Raw genomic sequence first — 24351 nt, forward strand, 5'->3', positions numbered from 1 at the left:
ATTTTAACTGTTTTCTCATTTCTCAACATGACTGAAAGTTCTGTTAAGTGAAAAAATTCAAATATTTTCAGAATAACTAAAATTACAGTAGCTCACAAACAGTATTTAATAAATAATTGTAGCGTAGGCTTCTGATGCATGAATTTTTAGTCTTCTATAAAAATCACAACAATCTTATGTATCTCAAAAGATTAAAATCAAGTTCTTTCAGCAAGATGGTATAAAACACACATTTGCATGGAAGAGGGAATGGAAAAGTCTATCCTACAGAAAAAGGGTAGTACTTATTACGGACACTATATTTGTGTCCCTTCAAATGTATATGTTGAACTTTTAATCCCCAATGTGATGTTATTAGAAGGTAGAGCCTTTGGGAGGTAATTAGGTCATAATTGTGAAGCCTTAATAAATGAAATTAGTACCCTTATAAGAAGAAATATGAGAGATATGATTTTCCTTTTGGCCATGTGAGGGTATAAGAAGACAGCCATCTGCAAATCAGGAAGAGTGCTATCACCAGATACCAGATATGCCAACATCATGATCTTGAACTTCCTCATTTTCAGACTCACGAGAAATAAACGTCTGTTGTTTAAACTACCCATTCTACAGTATTCTGTTACAGCAATCTGAACTGACTGAGGTTGTACTTATCCTAGACTTCTCTCTCTATGGATTCTTAGAGCCCATAAAATGACTCCACTCATTCATAAAACTGTAAACTATGATATGTTGTTGAACCTGAAGTCTAGATAAGTAAGGCCTGAGTAAATGAGAATGAATTGTGTAGAATAATATAGCTTGAGGACTTTACCTTGTGTTGCAATTTGAAAAAAAATTTTTTGCAGATAATTATTGGCATGAAGCTGAATTTGAAAGCAGGCAACTAAAAGGAGGACTGCAATGTTGGAAAAAAACACACCTCAACTTGAGATATATGCTCTTTTTTATGATAATGACTTTGACTTTGTGACTCTTTTCTACAGTAGAAACATTTCCTTAGAAGTAATTTAAATGAATACAGCATCCCAAGTAAAGGCTATATAGAAGAGAATGTATAAAGAGAAACAATGAAAGAAAAATCTTATAAAAAGCAAGTTTTTTCTAATAAACACTGAATACTTACTATGTCCACAGTCTCTGTTTAATAAAATAAGTGTTTGGAAACTTAAAAAATATATATTAGTATATGAAGATTATGTATGTAGACATTAATAATGCAACAGGTCTTCCAAATGCAGGAAAAGTAATAAAACAATTTTTACGGGGAAGAAAAGACAATACATACTTTGCAAACTACTTATGCAAATCTGAATAATGCCTTGTACACACACAAACCTACAAAAATGATAGATATTAATTCCACATGATGAGGAGATGAATATTGAATAGTTTAATGTACACTGTTGTTTGTTATAATAAATATGAGAGAAAATATATGATGAAATTTAGCTTTTCCACTACATACAAGATGAAGATACTCAAGAAAACATTGGTCACTATCATTTTAATGGTGATACAAATGTATTTTTCAACCAACTGCTTGTTTTTACCTCAATGTTTATCTTCAGGAAGAGCTACAGGTTTTATTTCTGACCTGCAGCACAATTATAATTGAAATCGGTCTCAAACTGCACTTTTGTCCAATTATCTGATATTGTGTTTGTGTGTTGGTGAGTGTTGTGTATTTTTGTGTTTATTTCTAAACACTTCTACTTCATCTATATACGTTAGCAAACCGATTAGTAAACTACATCTCCTTGGTACCCTAATGACACATTAGAAAATTCTCTGAAAAAAAGTAAAGTATAAAAAAAAAGATAGTTCCTAGTTTTAACAAATTGGACTGTAATATGTCTTACAATAATAAAAATATTTTAGAATCTATATCTACTGAATACTTACTATATCCTAGAGACCAGCCTAATTATTCAAAGCCATCCCCAAAATAATTACTCTGAAGTAGTAAATATTATCATGTTTTAGAATTGAAGAAACTTAGACTTAAAATGGTTAGTTTTCCTAAGTTTACAAGTTATTAACTGATGGAACTGAGAATCAAACCGAGTAAAGCTGGTTTTGAGATATTTAGTCTCTCAAAAGTCTCCTTTTATATGACAGAAAGATATTTAAAGAAATTAATAAAAATCTAATAGTTGTTAAGAACCAGAAGGAATATCCTCAGCAAATCAAATTTTTGGGGTTCTTAAAAGTTACAAGGAAGATAGCACTAAATTGATTTAATCAACAAATATTAGAGGTAATAGTGGTCATTTTCAAATAAACCCCAAAGAAGCTGCATGCTTAGTATAAACAAATAGAAGATTGACACATGGAAATGGAGTAACAATCAAAATAATTAATTAAAAATCTGTTTAGAACAGCTGGCCCCACTGGGTTTATCTCCTCTCCCCGTGTGGCCAACAGCCATGGCTTTGGTATGCAAATAAGCAGCCAAAAAATGCTTCCTATAAAAACTGGATGATGCTTCTGGGAAAGGATTCTAGTGTGAATGTTTGGGCATGTAAAGAAAGAAGTTTGACAGTGAGGTAAACCCATAATTCCAGAACTCCACAAACATTACTAAGGGAAAACAAAGAGGTATTGTCTGCTCAGCTTAAGAGGAAAATATGTTGACTCTCCCCTACACTTTGATGCTTTGTGTGGTTCATTTTGGTTTGAAATAAGGTGCAGAGAGAGCAATTAAATAACCAGGTTTGCTCAATTGTAAATAGCCCAATTAATTTTTATAATTATACTTTTATAATAATCATCAAAGGAATGAACTTGACTATTTCTTAGAGCCTCCCACAATTAGAACAGGTTAAATAATATGGATTAATGAGCACCATTTTTTTTGCATTGCTGTGATTATGCCAATAGGTAAAATACAGATATGAGTCCCAAGAGCTTCTTAAACTCCCAAGTTCTCTTCAAGTTCTTTAACTTACCACTCATATTCAGTTCTCTGTTCAAAGCCCACCTGAATGTTACCCATCCCTTACCACCCAATGTAAAACTAACAAGCTCAAATCTAGGCTATACCTGGATTATGTATTAATAGTACATTCTTCATTTCCATGCAGTATATTTATTTATAATATTATTAGTATAAGGAGGGGGTCTCATTTTCAACAAAGAGAAATCACATTCATACCGTCAATTTTTTATCAAGACCTTATTTAAATTCTATCTGTCATGGGTTCATTGCACTTAATATGATCAAAATCACAGAGATGTAGACTATTTGGAGCTTTTTTATAGTCATTTACTTGTATTATCCTCATATATTTCACATTTACTCCCTTGTTCATCTCATGTAGTACTGTGGCTTAAATTGTCATGTATATGGTAATGACTTCAGCTGTCCACCTAAATCTATTCTAGCTGTCCACCACAATCTATTATCTCCTTTCATAATAATAGAATTGCTGCTGGACATTTGACTGTCCAACTGTTCTTGCAGTAAAATTGTGCCACCATTTGCTGCATGAGGTCATATCACGTAAGTTACTCATCTTTGGCCATGAAGTTACCAGTGCTGAAGATGATATAAGGAAGCTGAGTTCCTTAAAGACTTTGAAAAGAAGAGCTGACTGCCAAACATACCTATGCTAAAAATTCTCCATTATATCCCAATCTTGGGGTAAAAACCAAAGTCATTTTAATAATGTATACAGTAATACACGTTTACACATCAGCAGGACTCACTCTTTCGGTTTTCTTAGGTGCTGATTCAGATGGTACTTTCTGGTCCAGGCTTCTTCTGGCTATTATATTAAAATTATGCCCATTTTGTAATTCTTACACTTTGCCCCATCTTTATTATTTTTTCATACTTTTTCTTATGTGAAATTTTCAATATGTTACTTGTTTTTGTTTCTCCTAACTTGTAAGAATGCAAGTACTAAGCTGTCATATATATTTTAAAATATAGAAAATAATTAAGCATACGTTTTAATTCTGTGGGTTAAGAATTAAAGTGGGAATCAGCTGGGTAGTATTTGTTCCCATAATATTGGCTGGGGTTATTCATGAAGTGGTACTTGGTTAGGAACTCTGCCGTAGCTAAAAAGTTCAGGGTAGCCTTGAACTACAGAGTTTCTCTCATTATGCTTCTCATTATTCAGTAATCTATCCTGGGCATTCCTTTTTTTCATTTTTATTTTAGATACATAGGGTATATTTTATTTGAGATACAGGGGGTATTTTATCACATGGGTATAATGCACTCAGGAGGTGAGCATAGTTCACAACAGATAGTTTTTTGAACCTTGCTTCCCTCCCTCCCTCACCTCTCTAGCAGTCTACACAGTGTCCATTGTTTCCATGTTTATGTTCATGGGTGTTCAATGTTTAGCTCCCATTATAAATGAGAAGACATGGTATTTGGTCTTCTGTTCCTGCATTAATTTGCTTAGGATTATGGCCTCTAGTTCCATCCACATTGCTGCAAAGGACATAATTTTATTATATATTATGGCTGCATAGTATTCCATGGGGTATATGTACTACATTTTCTTTATTCAATCTACCATTGATGGGCACATGGGTTGATTCCCTGTCTTCGCAATTGTGAATAGCACAGTGATGAACTTACGAGTGTATGTGCCTTTTTGGTAAAATCACTTATTTTTTGGGGGTGGGTATATACCCAGTAAAGGGATTACTGGGTTGAATGGTAGCTCTGTTTTAAGTTATTTGAGAAATCCCCAAACTACTTTCCACAGTGGCTGAACTAATATACATTCCCATAAGCAGTGCATATGTGTTCCTTTTTCTCTACAACCTTGCCAACATTTGTTAGTTTACTTTTAATAATAGCCATTTTGACTGGTGTGAGATAGTATCTCATTGTGGATTTGATTTGAGTTAATCTGATGATTAGTGATGTCGAGCAAATATTTTTCATGTTTGTTGGCTGCTTTTCTGTCTTTTGAGAAGTGTTTGCTCGTTTACTTTGACCATTTTTAATTGGGTTATTTGGTTTTTGCTTGTTGAATTAAGTTCCTTATAGATTCTGAATATCAGACCTTTGTCTTATACATAGTTTGCAAGTATTTTCTCCCATTTGGTAGATTGTCTGTTTGCTCTCTTGATAGTTTCTTTTGCTGTCCAGAAGCTTTTTTTAGTTTAATTAGGTCCAGTTTGTCTATATTTTTGGGTGGGGGTATAATTGCTGTTGGGGACTTAGCCAAAAATTATTTGCCAAGGCAGATGCTGAGAAGGGTATTTTTTACATGTCTTCTAAGATTTTTATACTCTGAAGTCTTACATTTAAATATTAGATTTTGCCGAGCATGGTGGCTCACACCTGTGATCCTAGCCCTTTGGGAAGTCGAGACAGGCAGATCATTTGAACCCAGGAGTTTGAGACCAGCCTGGCAATATGGTGAAACTCCGTTTCTACAAAATAATACAAAAATGAGCCGGGCATGGTAATGTATACCTGTGGTCCCAGCAACTCTGGTGACTGAGGTAGGAGGATCACCTGAGTCCAGTTGGTTGAGGCTGTAGTAAGCCACGATTGTACCACTGCACACCAGTCTGGCAACAGAGTGACATCCTCTCTTAAAAAAAAAAAAAATTAAATGTATCTTGAGTTAATTTTTGTACACAGTGAAATGCAATGGTCTAGTTTCATTCTTCCGCATATGGCCAGCCAGTTATCCCAGCACCATTTATTGAATAGGAAATCCTTTCTCCATTGCTTGCTATTGATGGCCTTTTCAAAGATCATATGGTTGTAAGTGTGCAGCCTTATTTCTGAGTTTTCTATTCAGTTCCATTGGTTTATGTGTCTGTTTTTGTACCAGTAACATGCTGTTTGGTTATTATAGACTTACAGCATAGTTTGAATTCAGGTAGTGTGATTCCTTCAGCTTTAGTCTTTATGCTTAGGATTGGTTTGGATTTGGGGGACTTTTTTTGATTCCATATAAATTTTACAATGGTTTTTTTGTTTGTTTTGTTTGTTTTTGCTAATTCTAGAAAAATGGTGTTAGTTGTTGGATAGGAGTAGTGTTAAATCTGTAAATTGTTTTGGGCAGAATGGCCATTTTACTATTGATTCTTTTAACCTATGAGCATGGAATATTTTTCCAATTATTTATGTCATCTCTGATGTCTTTAAGCAGTGTTTTTAGTTCTCCTCGAAGAGCTCTTTCATCTCCGTATTTAGCTGTATTCTAAGGTATTTAATTTTCTTTGTGGATATGTAAATGGGATTTTTTTCTTGATTTGACTCCCGGCCTGGGCATTATTGTAGTATAGAAATGCTACTAATTTTTGTGCTTTCATTTTATATACTGAAATTTTGCTAAACTCATTTATCAGTTCTAGTAGTCATTTGATAGTGTCTTTAGGGTTTTCTACATATAAAATGATATTGTCAGCAAAAGAGATACTTTGATTTTTCTTTTCCTATTTGGATGCCTTTTATTTCTTTATCTTTCCTGATCGACCTGGCTAGAACTTACAGTACTATGTTGAATAGTAGTGGTGAGAGTGGGCATCCCTGTCTTGTTACAGTTCTAAAAAGGAATAGTTCCAGCTTTTGCCCATTCAGTATGATATTGGCTGTAGGTTTGTCAAAGGTGGATTATTTTAAGGTATATTAGGTATATTCCTCCAATGCCTACAATGCTGAGGGTTTTATCATGAAACAAAGTTGGATTTTATCAGCCTGGCGTGGTGGCTCACGCCTGTAATCCCAACACTTTGGGAGGCCAAGGCGGGCGGATCAGGAGGTCAGGAGTTCAAGACCAGCCTGGCCAACATGGTGAAACTCCGTCTCTACTAAAAATACAAAAATTAGCTGGGCGCGGTGGCGCCTGCCACCTGTACTGCGGGATTTGGTTTGCTAATATTTTGTTGAGGATTTTGCATTTATGATAATCAGGGATATTGGCCTGAAGTTTTCTTTCTTTGTCGGGTCTCTGTCAGATTTTGGTATTAGGCTGATGCTGGCTTCATAGAATGAGTTATGGAGGAGTCCCTTCTGTTTTATTTTTTTGTAATAGTTTGAGCAGTGTTGATACCAGTTCTTTATATGTCCAGTAAAATTTGGCTGTCAATCCATCTGCTTAGGAATTTTTTCAGTTGGTTTTTTTTATTATTATTATTACTGATTCAATTTCAGAGCAAAATATTGGTCAGTTCAGTGTTTCAGTCCTCCTTGTTCAATTTTGGGAGATTGTATGTTTCCAGGAATTTGTCAATTTCCTCTAGATTTTCTAATTTTTGTGCATAGAGTTGTTGATAGTATTCTTTGTGGATCTTTTGTATTTCTGTGTGATCAATTGTAATGTCATCTTTGTCATTTTTGATTGTAATTATATGGATTTTTTTCTTAGTGGTCTACCAATCTTGTTTTTTTTTTTTTCAAAGAACAAGATTTTCATATCCTTGATCTTTTTATAAATTTTTGCATCTCAATTTCGTTAAGTTCTCTAATTTTAGTTATTTCTTTTCTTCTGCTAGTTTTGGCAGGTTTTCTTCACCCCGCTAGTTCGTTTTGGTACAAAGATTGTTAGTTTCAGCTCTTTCTAACTTTTTGATGAGGGCATTTGGGGCTATAAACTTCCCTCTTAATACTGCTTTAGTTGCATCCTAGAGATATTGCTAAGTTGTGTCCCTATTTTCATTAATTTCAAAAAATGTTTTATTTCTGCCTTAATATTGATGTTCACCCAGGAGTTATTCAGAAACAAGTTATTTAATTTCCATGTATTTGCATAGTTTTTAGAGATCTTGATATTGATTTCTATTTTTATTGCTCTGTTGTCTGAGAGTATGCTTGGTATGATTTTAATTTTTTTGAATTTATTGAATCTTGTATTATGACCAAGTATGTGGTCAATCTTAGAATATGTTCCATGCACAGATACGAAAAATGTATATTCTGTGGTTGGTTGTTGGAGTGTTCTGTAGATGTCTATTGGCTCCAATTGGTCAAGTGTCAATTGTAAATCCAGAGTTTCTTAGTTTTCTGCCTTGATAATGTGTCTAACACTGTCAGTGGGGCGTTAAAGTCTCCCACTGTCATTGTGTGACGTTTAAATCTCTTTGTAGATCTCTACGAACTTGTTTTCTGAATCTCATTGCTGTGACATTGGGTGCTTACATATTTAGAATAATTAAGTCTTCCTGTGGAATTTTACTCTTTATCATTATTTAATGTCTTTCATTGCCCTTAATTTTTATTGGTTTAAGGTCTGTTTTATTTGATATAAATATAGTGGTGACTCCTACGCTGATTTGTTTTCCATTTGCATGGTAGATCTTAATCCCTTTACTTTGAGCCTTTGGGTATTGTTACATGTGAGATTGGTCTCTTGAAGATAACAGATGGTTGGTCTTGCTTTTTATCTAGCTTGGCACTCTATGTCTTTTAAGAGTGGTATTTAGGCTATTTACATTGAAAGTTAATATTGTTGTGTGTAACTTTGAACCTCTCATCATGTTGTTAGCTGGTTGTTATGCAGATTTTATTGTGTAGCAGCTTTATAGTGCCTATGGGCTATGTAGCTGTGTGTTTTTATGGTAGCAGGTATCATTTTTTTGGTTCTATGTTTAGCACTCCCTTAAGGGCCTCTTGTAATGCTGGTCTAGTAGAAACACATTTCTTCAGCATTTGTTTTCTGAGGATTTTATTTCTCCTTCACTTATGCAGCTTAGTTTGGCAGAATATGAAATTCTTGGTTGGAATTTCTTTTCTTTAAGGATGCTGAAAAAAAGGCCGCACTCTCTTCTGGCTTGCAACGTTTTTGCTGAGAGTTCTGCTGCCAGCCTGATGGGGTCTCCTCTGTGTGTGACTTGACCCTTCTCTCTAGCTGCCTTCAAGATTTTTTCTTTTGCTTTGACCATGCTGAATATGATGAATATATGCCTTGAGGATAGTGATTTTTTTATAGCATCTAGCCAGGGTTCTCTATTTCTTGGATTTGTGTCAACCTTCCTAGCAAGATTAGGGAAATTTTCATGGACTATATCCTCAAATATATTTTTCAAGTTGTTTATTCTCTTTTTTCTCTCTCAAGAAGGCCAATAAGTAGCAGATTTGTTCTCTTTTCATAATCTCGTATTTATCAGAGATTTTGTTCATTTTTTAAATTCCTTTTTCTTTATTTTTATCTGACTGAGCTGATTCAAATAAGTGGAACTCAAGCTCTGATATTGCTTCCCCAGCTTGACCTCTTCTGCTGTTCCTAATTCTGATAGTATTCTGAAATTCTTGTAGTGACTTTTTCCTTTCCAGAAGTTCAGTTTAGTTCTTTCTTAAAATGGTTATTTTGTCTTTCAGGTCTTAGATAATTTTACTGGATTCCTTGGTTTCCCTGTATTGTGTTACCACTTTCTTCTGAATCTTGATGAGCTCCCTTGCCATCCAGATTCTGTATTCTATTTCTGTTATTTCAGTCATTTCAGACTGGTTATGAACCATTGCCAGAGAGCTAGTGGACTCGTTTGAAGGTAAGGGGACACTCTGGCTCTTTTAATTGCCAGATTTCTTGTGCTGATTTTTTGTCATCTGGGACAGTTGGTGTTAAAGCTATGCTGTAAGTTGAGTATAGTCAGTTGGCTTCATTCCTGGATACTTTCAGAGGGCCAAGGTGCTGTACAGGATCTTTATTTGTGGATGAATTCTTGTGCTTGGTTTTACAGGTATACATATTAGTGGGATAATTTTTGGTGCTGTTTGGGCTGTGATCCAGTAGACGGTGCTTAAGAGTAATGGCCAGTAGCCAGGCTAATACCCAGCCATATGGCTCTTTTGTACTTCCTCATGTTAACAGGTATTTTCTGCAGTAGGGGCAGGGAGAAAGATGTTTCCCTCACCAGATCCATTCAAGGGACTTGGGGGACCCTCCTCCAATCACTGGCGCTGTGCTTGCATTTCTTTTGTTAGATGTTCCAGGCCATGGGGCCCCCTTGGGCACAGACTGTGGCAGGGAGATGTCCCACACCCTTTCTGGACCAGCCCTGTGGAGGGAAGAATGCTTTGCTCCCTCTCCAGCCTGGGAACCTGCACATCTTGCCTCTCTCAGTGCTCTCAGGATAAGGGCTCCTCCTCTGCTTGAGTGCTGGCCACAGACTGCAGCTCTGCACTCCTGAACTGCATGCTGCACCCCCTAGGGGCACCAGGAAATCCCATGGCTTGGGGTTGGGTTCCAGCTGCATTGGAGGATTCCGTGTACTCCTGGTTCTCTGATAATGTACTCAGGTGTAGCAGTGTACTCGTGCTGGGCCATGGAGGCTACACTGTGCATCTGTTTTCTGGGGTAGCTAGACATGGGCCAAAGGATGGGCTGGTGGACAGGAGGGCTTGCAGAACAGATCCTGTCTAGTACAACAGGGAAGCCGGCCCCACTTTCTCCTGGCTCAGGTAAACTTGGGCAGTGCCTCCTGAAAAGGGATGGGGAACCTAGGGGATGAGCGTCTCTGATGACTGTCTGTTGGTGCTGCCCAGCAAGCAAAAGCTCCTGGGCTCTGTGCCATCTGAGGGACTGTCGCTGCCTGCTCCCTAAGGAGATCTCCCTACCAGCTCACACATCCATGGATGACATGAGGTATCCTGCAGCTAGGATCTCAGAGTTCCATGGCAAGAGGGAACCATCCCCCAGTTCCCTCTTCATCCCTTTCCCAGAAGCCATTTGGGGCCAGGAACTAGATCTAGTGTTTGGGAATGCGTGGAGGATTACCAGTTTCCTCTCTCTTCAACCTCAGCTTCAACATCACCTCTCTATACATTCTCAGCCTTTTATTTCCAAAAAACTGTCCAAATTATGGTGGTTTACAAGATGATTCAGTCTCACTTGGTGCAAGCAGCACTTTCTGGCTGCATCTAGTTGGCCATCGTGCCCTTTTATACACAGGCATACCTCAGAAATATTGTGGGTTTGGTTCCAGACCATTGCAATGAAACAAATATCAAAATAAAGCTAGTCACTTTTTTAAATTTTGCTTTCCCAGGGTGTATAAAAGTTACTTTTACACTATACCATAGTCTATTAAATGTGCAATAGCATTATGTCTAAGAAAACAATGTATATACTTTAATTTAAAAACACCTGGCCTGGCACTGTGCCTCAAGCCTGTAATCTTAGCACTTTAGGAGGACAAGGCAGAATTGTTTGAGCCCAGAAATTCGAGATCAGCCTGGCAACATGACGAAATGCTGTCTCTATAAAAAAATACAAAAACTTAGCTGGGTGTGGTGGCACATGTCTGTGGTCCCAGCTACTCAGGAGATTGAGGTGGGAAGATCACCTGAGCCCAGCAGTTCAAAGCTTCAGTGAGTCACTATTGCACCACTGCACTCTAGCCTGGGTGACAGAGTGAGACTCTGTCTCCAAAAATTAAAACAACAACAACAACAACAAAAACACACTTTATTTCACTAACAACTGTCCAACCCTTCAGTGAGTCATAATTTTTTTGCTGTGGAAGATCTTGCCTCTATGTTGATGGCTGCTATCTGATCTCATTTGTGATTGCTGAAAGTTGGGGTGGCTCTGGCAATTTCTTAAAATAAGAGAACAATAAAGTTAGTCGCATCAATTGATTCTTCTTTTCATGAAACATTTATCTGTGGCATGTGATGCTTTTTGATAGCATTTTACTCACAGTACCACTTCTTTCAAAATTGGAGTCAATTCTATTCAACTCTGACACTACATGATCAGTTTATGTAACTTTCTAAACCCTTTGCTGTCATGTCAACAATGTTCATAGCATCTTTACTAGGAGTAAATTTCATCTCAACAAACCACTTTCTTTGATCATCCATAATAAGCAACTACTGATCTGTTCAAGTTTTATGATGAGATTGCAGCATTTTAGTCACATATTCAGGCACCACTTCTAATTCTAGGATGCTTTCTGTTTCTGCCATAACTTCAGTTACTTCCTCCACTTAAGTCTTAAACCTCTCAAAGTCATGCATGAGGTTTGGAATCAACTTCTGTTAGATTTGATGGTTTGACCTCCTCTCATGAATCACAAGTGTGCTTAATGAAATCTATAATGATGAATTCTTTCCAGAAGGTTTTCAGTATTTTTTTCCCAAATCCACCAAAGAATTGTTATCTACATAAACTATGGTCTTATAAAATATTTTTATTAAACTATAGTACTTGAAAGTCAAAATTACTCCTTGATCTATGGACTGCAGAATGGATGTGGTATTAGCAGGCATGAAAACAACATTAATCTCCCTGTACACCTCCTTCAGAGCTCTGGGGTGTCTAGATGAATTGTCAATGAGCAGCCATACTTTGAAAGAAATGTCTTTTTTCTAAGCAGTAGGTCTCAACAGTGGATTTAAAATATTCAGTAAACTATACTGTAAACAAATATGTTGTCATCCAGGCTTTGTTCTTCCATTTATAGAGCATATGCAGAGTATATTTGGCATATTTTTTAAGAGCCTTGGAATTTTTAAATGGTAAATAAGCATTGGCTTCAACTTAAAGTGGTCAGCTGCATTAGGCCCTAACAAGAGAGTCAGCCTGTCCTTTGAAGCTTAGAAGCCGATATTGACTTCTTTCTAACAGTAAAACTCTAGATGGCATCTTCTTTTAATATATAAGGCTGTTTGGTCTACGTTGAATATTCATTATTTAATATAGCCACCCTCATCAAGTAACTAGATCTTCTGATTAACTTTCTGCAGCACTTACTGCTTCACCTTGCACTTTTAGGTTATGGAGATGGCTTCTTTCTTTAAACCTCATGAACCAACCTCTATTAGCTTCCACTCTTTTTTTTCTGCAGCTTCCTCACTTCTTTCAGCCTTCATAGAATTGAAGTGAGATAAAGCTTTGCCCTGAATTGGGCTGTGTCTGAAGGGAATGATGTGGCTGGTTTGATCCTCTGTCCAGATTACTGAAACTTTGTCTATACCAGCAATAAGCCTATTTCACTTTATTATCTTTTGGATGTTCACAGGAGTAGCACTTTTAATGTCCTTCAATAACTTTTTCTTTGCCTTCAAAAGCTGGCTAATCACGCCTGTAATCCCAGCACTTTGGGAGGCCGAGGCGGGCGGATCACGAGGTCAGGAGATCGAGGCCATCCTGGCTAACACAGTGAAACCCCGTCTCTACTAAAAATACAAAAAATTAGCCGGGCGTGGTAGCGGGCGCCTGTAGTCCCAGCTACTCGGGAGGCTGAGGCAGGAGAATGGCGTGAACCCGGGAGGCGGAGCTTGCAGTGAGCCGAGATCGCGCCACTGCACTCCAGCCTGGGCGACAGAGCGAGACTCCGTCTCAAAAAAAAAAAAAAAAAAAAAAAAAGCTGGCTAAATATTTGGCACATGAGGCCTTGTTTTTACCACTCTGAGCTTTCAACATGCTTTCTTCACTAAGCTTAATCATTTCTAACTTTTGATTTAAAGTGAGAGATATGTGACTCTTCTTTTTACTTGAATACTTAGAGTCCATTATAGAGTTATTCACTGGTATAATGTCAAAATTGTTGTCTCTCAGGGAATAGGGAGGCCTGAAAAGAGGGAGGGAGAAGGGGAAATGGCCAGTCAGTGGGGTAGTCAACAAAACACATACCCCATTTATATATTAAGTTTGCTATTTTACATGGGTATGGTTTGTGGCATCCCAAAATAATTACAATAGTAATATCAAAAATCATTGATTACGGATCACCACAACAGATATAAGAATAAAGAAAAAGTTTGAAATAATGTGAGAATTACAAATATGTGATGTAGACACAAAGTGAACATGTGCTGTTAAAAAAAAAAAGGCACCAATAGACTTGCTTTATGCAAGGCAAAACTTCAATTTGTAAAAAAACATGGTATCTATGAAGCACAATTAAGCGAAGCACAGTAAAATGAGATGGTATTTATTTTCTATTTATTTTGCAAAACAATTCTGCCTGTTCTTAAATCATATAATATGTCCATCTCTAGAACCAAGTGGGGCTTGTGGCAATTTTGGAGCAGCTTCCCAAAATAATCACATTTGAAGAGAAACTATATATTTGGAATTTTGCATAGGTTCTTTTGATACAATTAAACAATGAAAGTTCAAAATTGAACTTTAATTATGTTAAGAAAATAACATTTAGTTTCAGTGTTGCATGGCTTGCTCCTCAGTCCCCAAAAGCAAAGAATATAAGGCAGTCATTTCTGCCATCCTATCTAATGAATAACTTGGCGTATAGCTTCTTGATAACATAGCTACCATTTTAATCTGGTTGGAAAGTTTGATGATAATTAAAAGTTTTAGCTGAAACTCCTGCCTTGAATGAAAACCACCAGGCATTTTTATCCGTATTCCTATTTTGATAATCAAATCTTTGATGGTGAGCAGGTAGATATATTATTTGCATTTACCAAAAAACAAAACAAAACAGCACAAAGGCTTAAAAGTTTAGATGGCTTGCCTAAAGTTGCATAGGTAGTTAGTAAGTGACAATACCAAACTAATATGCCTTGTTATCTTGTGGCAATTACACTAAATTACACTCCACTCTATGTCTAAAAATTAGAAAGCAGAGATATAAACATCCATATCATTTATTTTAAAGTACCATTAATTGTTGTTTATTTATACGGTTTAATGATTTGGCTTCCCAGAATGCTGGGCTTTCTTAGCTTCCATCAGAGCACAAAGAAATCATGAACCACATCATGCTCTGTTAACTTCAGGCCTAGTTGTTAGCACTAATAACATAAGATAATAATTGCAAATAAGTGTCATTTTTGTTTGTACTTTTATTGCATATCACTTCAGCCTTTATTTCCTACCATGCTCTATGTGAATTCTTCCAAAAGAAATTTTGTGTAATACATATTTAAAAATGCATCAAGGAAACACATTTTAAAAAGCAATGGCATTTCAGGAAATGACTAGAATTGTGCAAGTTACACTCATTATGGGCATGGCTTAATTTTTCATGCATCTGTCCAACTGCTGTTTCATTTTTTTTGATGTTCCAATTGTACCAATCTGGACATATTTGAATAAATGTTCTAACTGTATTCTATTTGTTTAAATAAGGGGAAAAATTAGCATCTCTACCTGCCTGATATTTCCTGTCTTTCTTCTTTATCTAGTTCAAACAAAGAAGATAAAAATTATAACTGTTTGAAAAAACAATGGAGACATTAACTGTGACATTTAAGGTAAAATAAACATCAATATTTAAAAGAAGAAAATAGTTCATACTATTTTGCACACCATTATTTCTGAATGTTTTAAACTTGAAAATTTAGGTAGCAAAGGTGGGCTTTATAAATAGTAAAAGAAGCAGTAATGATACAGTTATTTTTATATAATATGACAGATTATTCAGAGATTTTTATGTTAATGCCCTTTATGTGGGTTGAAAATCATTGAATATCGTTGTTTTATTCAATTCAGGCTAAATTAGCACCATCTTCTTTAGGAGACCATGTCATAGCATGGCAGAAATTCACATTTAAAAACTCAGGGACACTTCCCAAGGAAAAATTCTCGTCTTTTTTCTTTTGGGCAGGTATAGCTTTAGGCAAACCTGTGAAATCTGTAAAGCTCATATTTAGAGCTTGTTGTATCACCTTTTCTTATTTTTCTGGAATCCAAGGTGTTTGATCTGTCCTAGAAGAATTCTTTCATTATTTTTTTCTGTCTGAGGCCCTATATTACATGGGAAGAGACAATTTTCAACCCAATAATTCTTCTTATCATCTAGGCTTGGGGTTTTGATTTAATATGGCTGAACTTTCATTTCCCAATTCACATTCTTGGTTAGAAAGCAATCTTTCTTACCACTTCCTCAAGTCTTTTGTTTATTTGTTTGTTTATTTATTCATTTATTAGTGTCTCCTTTACAGATAGGACTGGATTTTGAGGCTTCCAGCTTTATAACAATCTACCTCACCTGAGTGGGGACCCAAAATTGATGTATCTCCCTAAGCCATAAAATTCTGGCTTGGCGCAGTGGCCAAAGTCTATAATTCCAGCACTTTGGGAGACCAAGGCAGGAGAATCGCTTCAGCCCGGGAGTTTGAGACCAACCTGGGGAATATCGTGAAACCCCATCTCTACAAAAACATACAAAAAGTTAGCTGAGCATGGTGATGTGTGCCTATAGTCCCAGCTATTCAGGAGACTGAGCTAGGAGGATCGCTTGAGCGCAGGCAGAGTTTGCAGTGAACCATGATCACAGCACTCCACTACAGCTTGGGTGACAGAGTGATACCCTGTCTAAAACAAAAAAAAAAAAAGAAAGAAAAAAAATCCTAGCTGACTGTTCTATTGTCTGTAGGTAGGTTTTATAGAGTGAAGGGCTAACATTCCTTTGGTTTTAGCTTACCATTCTCACTTTGTTATTAATACTTCTTCATTCCTATTACCTTCTCCGTTCCTGCTTTCCTTTCCCCTTCTTTCCTCTTTCATTTTCTCTTTTCTTTCCCTTCTCCACTCCCTCTCCCCTTTCTTCTTCCTTTCCCCCTTTCTTCTTCTTTCCCCTATCCCTTCTTTTATTTTTCAATTTCTCCTTCCTTTCTTTTAAATCTGCTATACATATTTTTTTAAATGATCATATTTCATCCAGCATTTCTGTGTGCTTCTAGTGGTTGTGTGTGTGTGTGTTTTTTGGGTGGTGGTAATTGTGGGTCATCATTAACTTCTTCTGGTATATAATTGAAAGTCTATTTGACTCCAAGTCAAATTTCATGTTTGTGTACCTAATTGACTCAGGGCTCTGCATTCTATGAACATGTTAACTAACTTATATTTTCCCCATTTTAGAAAAGGGAAAATGACGTTTTAATCAGATTAAACATGTTTACCTATGTAACAAAGAGGCGCTTGTACCCCTGAACCTAAAATAAAAGTAAAAAACAATAAAGAAGGGAAAAAAATAACCTCATTTCCAAATTGAAAGCAAGGAATGACAAATGTTGGAAATTTCTTAGAGTGATGTAAGATGATGGAGAAGAAATTTGGGGGCAGGTGTATTTTTAATACCCTCTATATCTCAACTACTCTAGTTAAATGTGGGGCTAATGTGTTGGCCTAAAGGAATACGTTTATGACTGAAATATCTGAAAAGTTAAAATATTTTATTGAGCCCTTAACATGTATTAAGAACTCTTAACAACAACCCTATAAAATAAATTACCCCCATGTTAAAGTTGAGGAAATGGAGGTAATGAAGTATAATGTGCCAACAGTCACACAGGTAATAAATGGCTAAGCCAAGATCCAAACCTAGGCAATATAGCTCTGTTGTATTAATCAATATATTGAAATGACACTAAAGGCAAGAAAGATAAGTCAATAGAACAATTGATTCTATCATTTTCTTATATATAGATCTGATGAAGCCTCTGTATTTTGTCAAAGGTCAAAAGTTTTATATGCTTAACAACAATAGCAATAAAAAGTAGATTGATAGTCATCATTTTCATAGCAGCTTGCCCTACCAGGGAAGAAAAAGGTGCTTTCTTCTAAGGAAAACATTATCAGGTAAGGACCTTAATTCAATAAATTGCTTGTTAATTCACAGACACCTGTCTTAGCAGCTGGCTAGAATACTGCTAGAACACTGAGACTGGATGATCCAGTATCTACATCTACCTTTGTGCATTTTTCTTTTACAGCATGGAAAGAAATGTTCAATTGCTTAGTTGTGTGAAGACATGAAGCCCCATCTTGATACTTTCTTTCCCTAATGAAACATTTCTTTTTTCAACAAAATTATTTTTTGGCTTAAAGAAGTAATTCCTATTTCTAGCTAGGCAGTCCCTATATGCCTTCATAAAGAAAGCATTGTTTGGCAACATACACCAATAAATAATACTAGACTTGAAAAATTAGTTGTCTTGCTATTACTTTTTTTGTGTTTTCTTAAAAGTAATCTCACATATTTTTGGATGTTTACTTGGGAATACTGTGACACAAAGCCAGATTAGGGCAGTGGCAGTATCATTTGACTGTGTATAAAACATGTGTGGAATTTATTTTAAAATTTATTTCATAAACATACATCCAGGGATTCTGATTTGGTACTTCATACTAAGGGTGAGGTCCAGGAATCTACACTTAACAAATTTCCTGAAAATTTGGGTATAGGCAGTCTTTGGACCTTGCTTTTTGAAACTAAGTTAAGGAGTAGTTCACATACATTTTGAGCATCTGATAAAATGATTTGTGCCTATCTAATGAGATTCACTATCTTTATTTCTGTGTTACGCCTAGATTTCCTTTTTTCTCTAGAGCTTCATTCATTTAAGATGGAATTCCCTAATCCTCATTCTGTTTTTCAATCCAGTGGGAAATTGCTTTGTTTTCTTTTTCTGAAGTCCACCTTCAATTTACTGGTCCCTTTATTATTCCATAACCTTTCATGTCCCCTGTTATCTTCTTAGTGGGCTAAGGGTACAGACTCTGGAGCTTGTCTTAGTTGGAATTTGGACTGTAGAAGCTGGCTGTGCAACCATAAACAATTGGCTTAACCTCTCCTTGCTTACATTTAGTCATTTCTAAAATGGGGATGATAATAGTACTTAACACATACTTTTCTTTGGAGATTAAATGATATAATACACTTTAATTAGGGTGCCAGGGCATGGTAAGTGCTCGATAAATACTACTTATCATCTGATATCTAGCAACATCATGATCATCATCGTCATGATCATCACCATTATATGATTTCCTACCAGGTTTGCTTCTTAGCTCTTCATTCTGGAGAGAGAATCTCATCTCTCTCTCCTAAACCCAAATAAATGAATCTGATGGCTAAATGGTACAATACTAAAACTCATTACACTACTGTTCCATTAATTTTATTTTTATATAAGAGAGTATAAAATATTTTTGTAGTTTAACTAATAAATAGTAATTATAAAATAAACACTCATGTAACAATAACCTGCATAGCCCTCAATGAATATATTCCCCTCCCTCAGATATAACTTCTATCTTGATTAATCATTCTCTTACTTTTATTTGTGGTTTTATCATATACATATTCACATTTGAAAACTATATTGTTGGCTGGGCGCGGTGGCTCACGCCTGTAATCCCAGCACTTTGGGAGGCCGAGGCGGGCAGATCACGAGGTCAGGAGATCGAGACCATCCTGGCTAACATGGTGAAACCCCGTCTCTACTAAAAACACACACAAAAATTAGCCGGGCGTGGTCGCGGGCACCTGTAGTCCCAGCTACTCTGGAGGCTGAGGTAGGAGAATGGCGTGATCCCCGTAGGCGGAGCTTGCAGTGAGCCAAGATCGCGCCATTGCACTCCAGCCTGGGCGACAGAGCAAAACTCCGTATTAAAAAAAAAAAAAGACAACTATATTGTTAGGTTTTCTGTGGCTTTGGACTTTACAATGTGCAAAGTTTAGCTATTGTAAAGTTTAGCTATTCCATATACATTACTCCGTGATTCACTTCTGCTCAAAGTTATGTTTGTGAAAAACATCCATGTTCAAGGGTAAAGGAATACCATTTTCTCTTTTTCACTCCTATGATTTATTTCATTGTATGACCACAACATAATTACATGTTCTATTGTTGATAGGTACTTGGGTTGTTTAAAGTTTTTGCCATTATAAACATTGATTCCATGAATGTACTTATATAAGCTTCCTTGTGCACATAGTCAAGACTTCTCTCTGCTTGCAACTAGCAGTGAAATTGCTAAGATGGTTTAGGCAGATGCTTGAGTTTGATAAACAACATCAACATTTCTAATTAAAGTAATCATAGTCCATATAAGTTTAATCAATTTAATCTACCATCAGAATATGAGAGTTCTTGTTGTTTCATGTCCCTGCTATAATTTTGTAATGACGTTTCTTTTTTGTCAAAATAGCTATGTATACTTTCTTCATTGTAGTTTCATTTAACCTGACCCTCATTACTAATGAGGTTCTGTATCTTCTTGTACGCTACCAGGTATTTGGGTTTGTTCTTTTTTAGTGCCTATTTAAAAGCCTGGCTTGTTATAATACATATAGCACAGTCTTTCAGTTAAACACTGTGAGGGCTGGTTTTAGATCTCTTTTGTTGAGTATATCATTCCTTCAAGTATGCATTCATTCATTCATTTTTAAAATATTTTGAAGTAGTTACTGAAAGCAAAATGCTAAGTAAACTCTTTTTTTTGGAGACAGGGTCTTGCTGTCTCACCCAGACTGGAGTATAGTGGTACAGTCACAGCTCACTGCAGCCTCAAACTCCTGGGTTCATGGTATTCTCCTACCTCTGCCTTCTGAGATGCTGGGATACAAGCACACGCCACCACACTTGCCTACTCTTTTTTTAAATATTTTATTTTTTGTAGATAGGGGATATCTTGCTGTATTGACCAGGCTGGTCTCAAACTCCTGCCCTCAAGCAGTTCTCCCACCTTGGCCTCCCAAAGTGTTGGGATTACAGGCATGAGCCTCAGTAAACTCTTTTATACTTACCTGCACTTTGTAGTTGTTTTGCGAACTTTAAATGGCTAAATGAAAATTAACCTGTTTCACCCTTTGCCTCAGCTGCCAAGACCTTGAGGCCAAATATGTTAATCATTTGGAATTTCCTGCATATCTCAGAGTCCTAATAGTATACATTAGTATCTAGGCATTGGCTTCCTATACAGCAAATTGGTGAGCAATAATTTCCACATGAGGGTAAGTTAAGGAATTTAAACATGTTTATTTGCATTTTTTCATTCAAAATAAAGATAGCTTCATTGGGCCCTACATAAAAATGCATATTCTTACAACTTAGATTACATACTTTATATGTTTTCTAATTGACAATGAGAATTAGGCACTATTTTATTGTTACTAAAATATTAATATATAGGCACAGTTGAGAATACATAATATGTGTAAAAGAAAATAAAATTTCAGGACCCTCTGAATTTATAATGCTAAGGGAGAAGTTAAGCCCTAGTGATAGAATCATATATCACTTTTGCAATTCTGCTTCTTAAGTGATAGATAACCCTCTTCCTCATTGTTTTTGTTCCATAAATGACTAGGAGAGACCAAAGACCAGACCTTCCCACTTTCCAATGGAAAGTGATTCAAACATTAACATTAACAAGCTATAATGTTTGTTATAGATTAACTGTCTCCTTTTTGGTCCTGTACTTGACTCAGACTAGATGATACCCAAGACCCAATAACTGTTACATCTTTGGTGTAAAATGTTCAATATGTCTCTCTGAAAGAAAAAGACCACCTTGACTAATCAGATTATTGAAACTATGTGTTATGCCTTACATAGAAATATGTTGAAATTCTGTTAAACTTCCCTAAACTTTGTTTATATAAGCAATCCCAAACTTTTGCTCTTTGAAACACTGATTTCCATTTTTTTGGAATCTGTACTTCTTAGGTAGATCATCCTCAAACTTTGTGCTTGCATAAACTCTCTTTAAACTAGATTCTGACCATTTCGATTATTTTAGGTTGACATTTTGGTAACTCAGAAGGAACCTGAAGCAAGTCTCCAAGATTCCTACCATTTTGCAGACAACTGGTGCCTTGATACCAGCGCATATGGCTTTTGTTCACCCAACCTCACCAGAGCTGGCAGGGGTCTCTGTCAAGACTCTTCTTGGGTTTCAAATCTCCCTAATTTTGGCTTGGAATTTGGGCCTTATTCAAGTGACCTGAATCACACTCCCCAGAGCTGGAATTGAAGCTTTGCTTTTAAGGAAGGAGAATTATTTGTTATTCTCTATAGAGTCTGCTGCCTGCAGATTTGTGATTTTCATTTTCCTCTGAGGTTAAGATTTTGTTTATCTTACTTATTAAAGTTTGCAATCTATTTCTCTCAGTAGAAGTTCAGTCAAGAAGAAAATGGTTTCTCTTTGAAAAGAAAAAGTGAAATTTTTGTAGCTTAAGCAACATATATGTAATCTTTAAAACTGACCAGATTCTGAGGCTTGATTAAATTGACAATTTGAAACTTTCTTGAATGATCAAAATTCTTCACACTAGGTAATAATCTAAATTATGAGCAATCATACCTATAAGGCCAAGTCTTTATCCTCAAGGAGAAATCCACCTTTAGACACTCCAACTGAATTTATGTAAAATACTTATGGCACCATTTCCTGTTGATATCTAGAAAAATGGTCTTACTTAATGCATGAAGACCCCGAAATGGAGTACCTTTAAAAACAGGTAGCCAGAATAGGGTAACTTTAAAATACCTAAATTTGTTTATCTGTGTGCTCAATGAGAAACAGACAGCTCCAAAGTAAACTAAAAGAACTTGAAGAGATATTTTTCAATAGTACTTAGAAGCCTGTAAAAGAGGTTCTGATAAAGTCATTTCTTTGAAGGAAGAAAACAAAATATTGTCTAAAACTATTTTTTAAATTAAAAAAGTAAACACTGAAGGCTTTCTCCCTGTCACCTCCAACTGCTCGTTTTCTTTAGCCTGGAGCTCTGAACTCATCCCTTTCTGCTTATTTCTTCAGTTCCCATACATCTTTTAGGCAGAGATTTTTGGAATTCCACTATGCACACATTTCCTTTACTCAAAAGGGGGACAATGTTTTTAAATTTGGAACAGTGGGAATAAACAGAACAACTACAGAATGAAAATGAACCTAAGATTATAAAAATACAGATCCAACAAATTATTTCTAAACCAGAAATGATGAACAACACTGATGATATATTGATGGAACAGCAGATGAATCCTTTCAATGCCCTGGTTTATTTTGTGGTCCCTTGGAGATGTGAATCTTATGAAGTCTTTGAAATGGTAATATCCAGGGAATTAGCTAAGCAGCAGTTGAGATCAGATCTGAAACAAGTTAAAATTCTTTAAATACTCAAAGTGCCTGCTTTGGATCCCATACAGGATCTGCAAAAAGCACTCTGTCCTGTGGTCTAGTGGTTAGGATTCTGAGCTTTCATCACTGTGAACTGTTTTCAGTCCCTCATTAGGGAATCAGTCTCATTTGTCTTAAATTATTTGTATGACTCCACACCTTTTAGGCACCTATTTGTTACTGAACCTTTTCCCTTCCATGGACAGCTTTCGATTTTCTGTCTTTTCATATGTGGGGCACATGGAGCTTTGGGGCCTTCATGTGTAAGTGCTCAGCTGAGAAGCTGATATCCTAGAAAATCTGGCCAGATAGAAATGTGGGTTGTATTCCATTTATGACTAGCAAGACTTTTCTTTCTTTGAGCTGTCTCTGGAGTAATTCTGGATCTTGTAAGGATTGCTTTACACGTCTTTGGAGATATCTAGTTAATTCTTGGTTAAGTTATAAATTTGGTTAAGGCTCACTGGTTTTGGTGGGTCACTCCACCAAAGGATACCTTTGGCTTTAAAAAAAGAAAAGTGGAATAAAGTATTTATAAAAGGTAAGCCTTCAGATAAGGTAGGCTTACTTCTTTTTCAGAGCTATCTATGATGACACTAGGCATAAAAAAATTATTTGCCTGCTTCCATAATGAGCTCCACTCCGGACTCAATAATTTTAGATAAGAAATAGAAGCTAAGTTGGCAAGACCACCCACTGAAGACAATTAGTATAAAAAGTACATCTTTCTGGCATTTAGCTGGCTATTTTGAAATCCCTTTGTAAAAGAACTTTACAGGTATAAAGGAGATCTTCATTTGTAAGAACATCTCTCTTTCTGCATGATGAATATATTGGCTCTAAGTTTACATAACAAACCTTACCTTTGTTCAAGATACTTTCCTGCAATTTTGTCTTGACTCAGCCTGTACCTATTTCATTCTTTCTCTCAGCAAATAATGCTGTTTACATCTAAGTTATTTGCCTTTGGGATGTAAATTTTGCCTGAGTCATGTCTTTTGGAAGAGCAAATTTACTGTTGCCTGGCTAACAATTATTTAGGGCTTGATAGTCTGAAGGAATGAGAGAAACTATTTGAAAACCAGCAAAGGAAAAACTTTGTGAAGCTATAAAATCTGCTTCTGTCTGTGTGTCTCTATGTCTATATGTTTATAGGCGACATTTCACTACCAAAACATGTGAAAGAGCTCTAAATAATTGGCTTAAAAAAAGTAAGTGCCTAAGTCAAATATTTTATCAGAAAAATAGAAACTAACTCCTCAAATGCCATTTAATTTGCATGACTTGTGTAAATCTTTGGTAAGAGTAGTTTAATATTTTCAACTTAACAAAAACAATAATTTATTCTGTTATGAACAAAAAATGCATTCAACTTTATGATTTTTTGCTGCTATATTTGCTTAACATGCAGTAATATAAAAATGGTAAATAAAAAATTAACGAGGTGATGGCTAGCTTAGTTTAACGAACTATTCAATCATAAATATTAGGAACAAATTAAATGAGATATAAGTTTATAAATGAAGTTTTTACAGTTTCAAAA

General features: G+C 36.0%; 2 annotated features.

Annotated features, from left to right (window-relative positions):
• Positions 22547 to 23297: an enhancer, noted in NCBI's record as "NANOG-H3K27ac hESC enhancer chrX:88961378-88962128 (GRCh37/hg19 assembly coordinates)". NCBI's record gives its function as "activates a minimal SCP1, AML or CMV promoter by ChIP-STARR-seq in naive H9 embryonic stem cells {active_cell/tissue: H9 hESC(naive)}" and the evidence as "EXISTENCE:reporter gene assay evidence [ECO:0000049][PMID:30033119]".
• Positions 23298 to 24046: an enhancer, noted in NCBI's record as "OCT4-NANOG-H3K27ac hESC enhancer chrX:88962129-88962877 (GRCh37/hg19 assembly coordinates)". NCBI's record gives its function as "activates a minimal SCP1, AML or CMV promoter by ChIP-STARR-seq in primed H9 embryonic stem cells {active_cell/tissue: H9 hESC(primed)}" and the evidence as "EXISTENCE:reporter gene assay evidence [ECO:0000049][PMID:30033119]".

The sequence above is a fragment of the Homo sapiens genome, chromosome X (genome assembly GCF_000001405.40).
Source record: "Homo sapiens chromosome X, GRCh38.p14 Primary Assembly".
Lineage (NCBI taxonomy): Eukaryota > Metazoa > Chordata > Mammalia > Primates > Hominidae > Homo > Homo sapiens.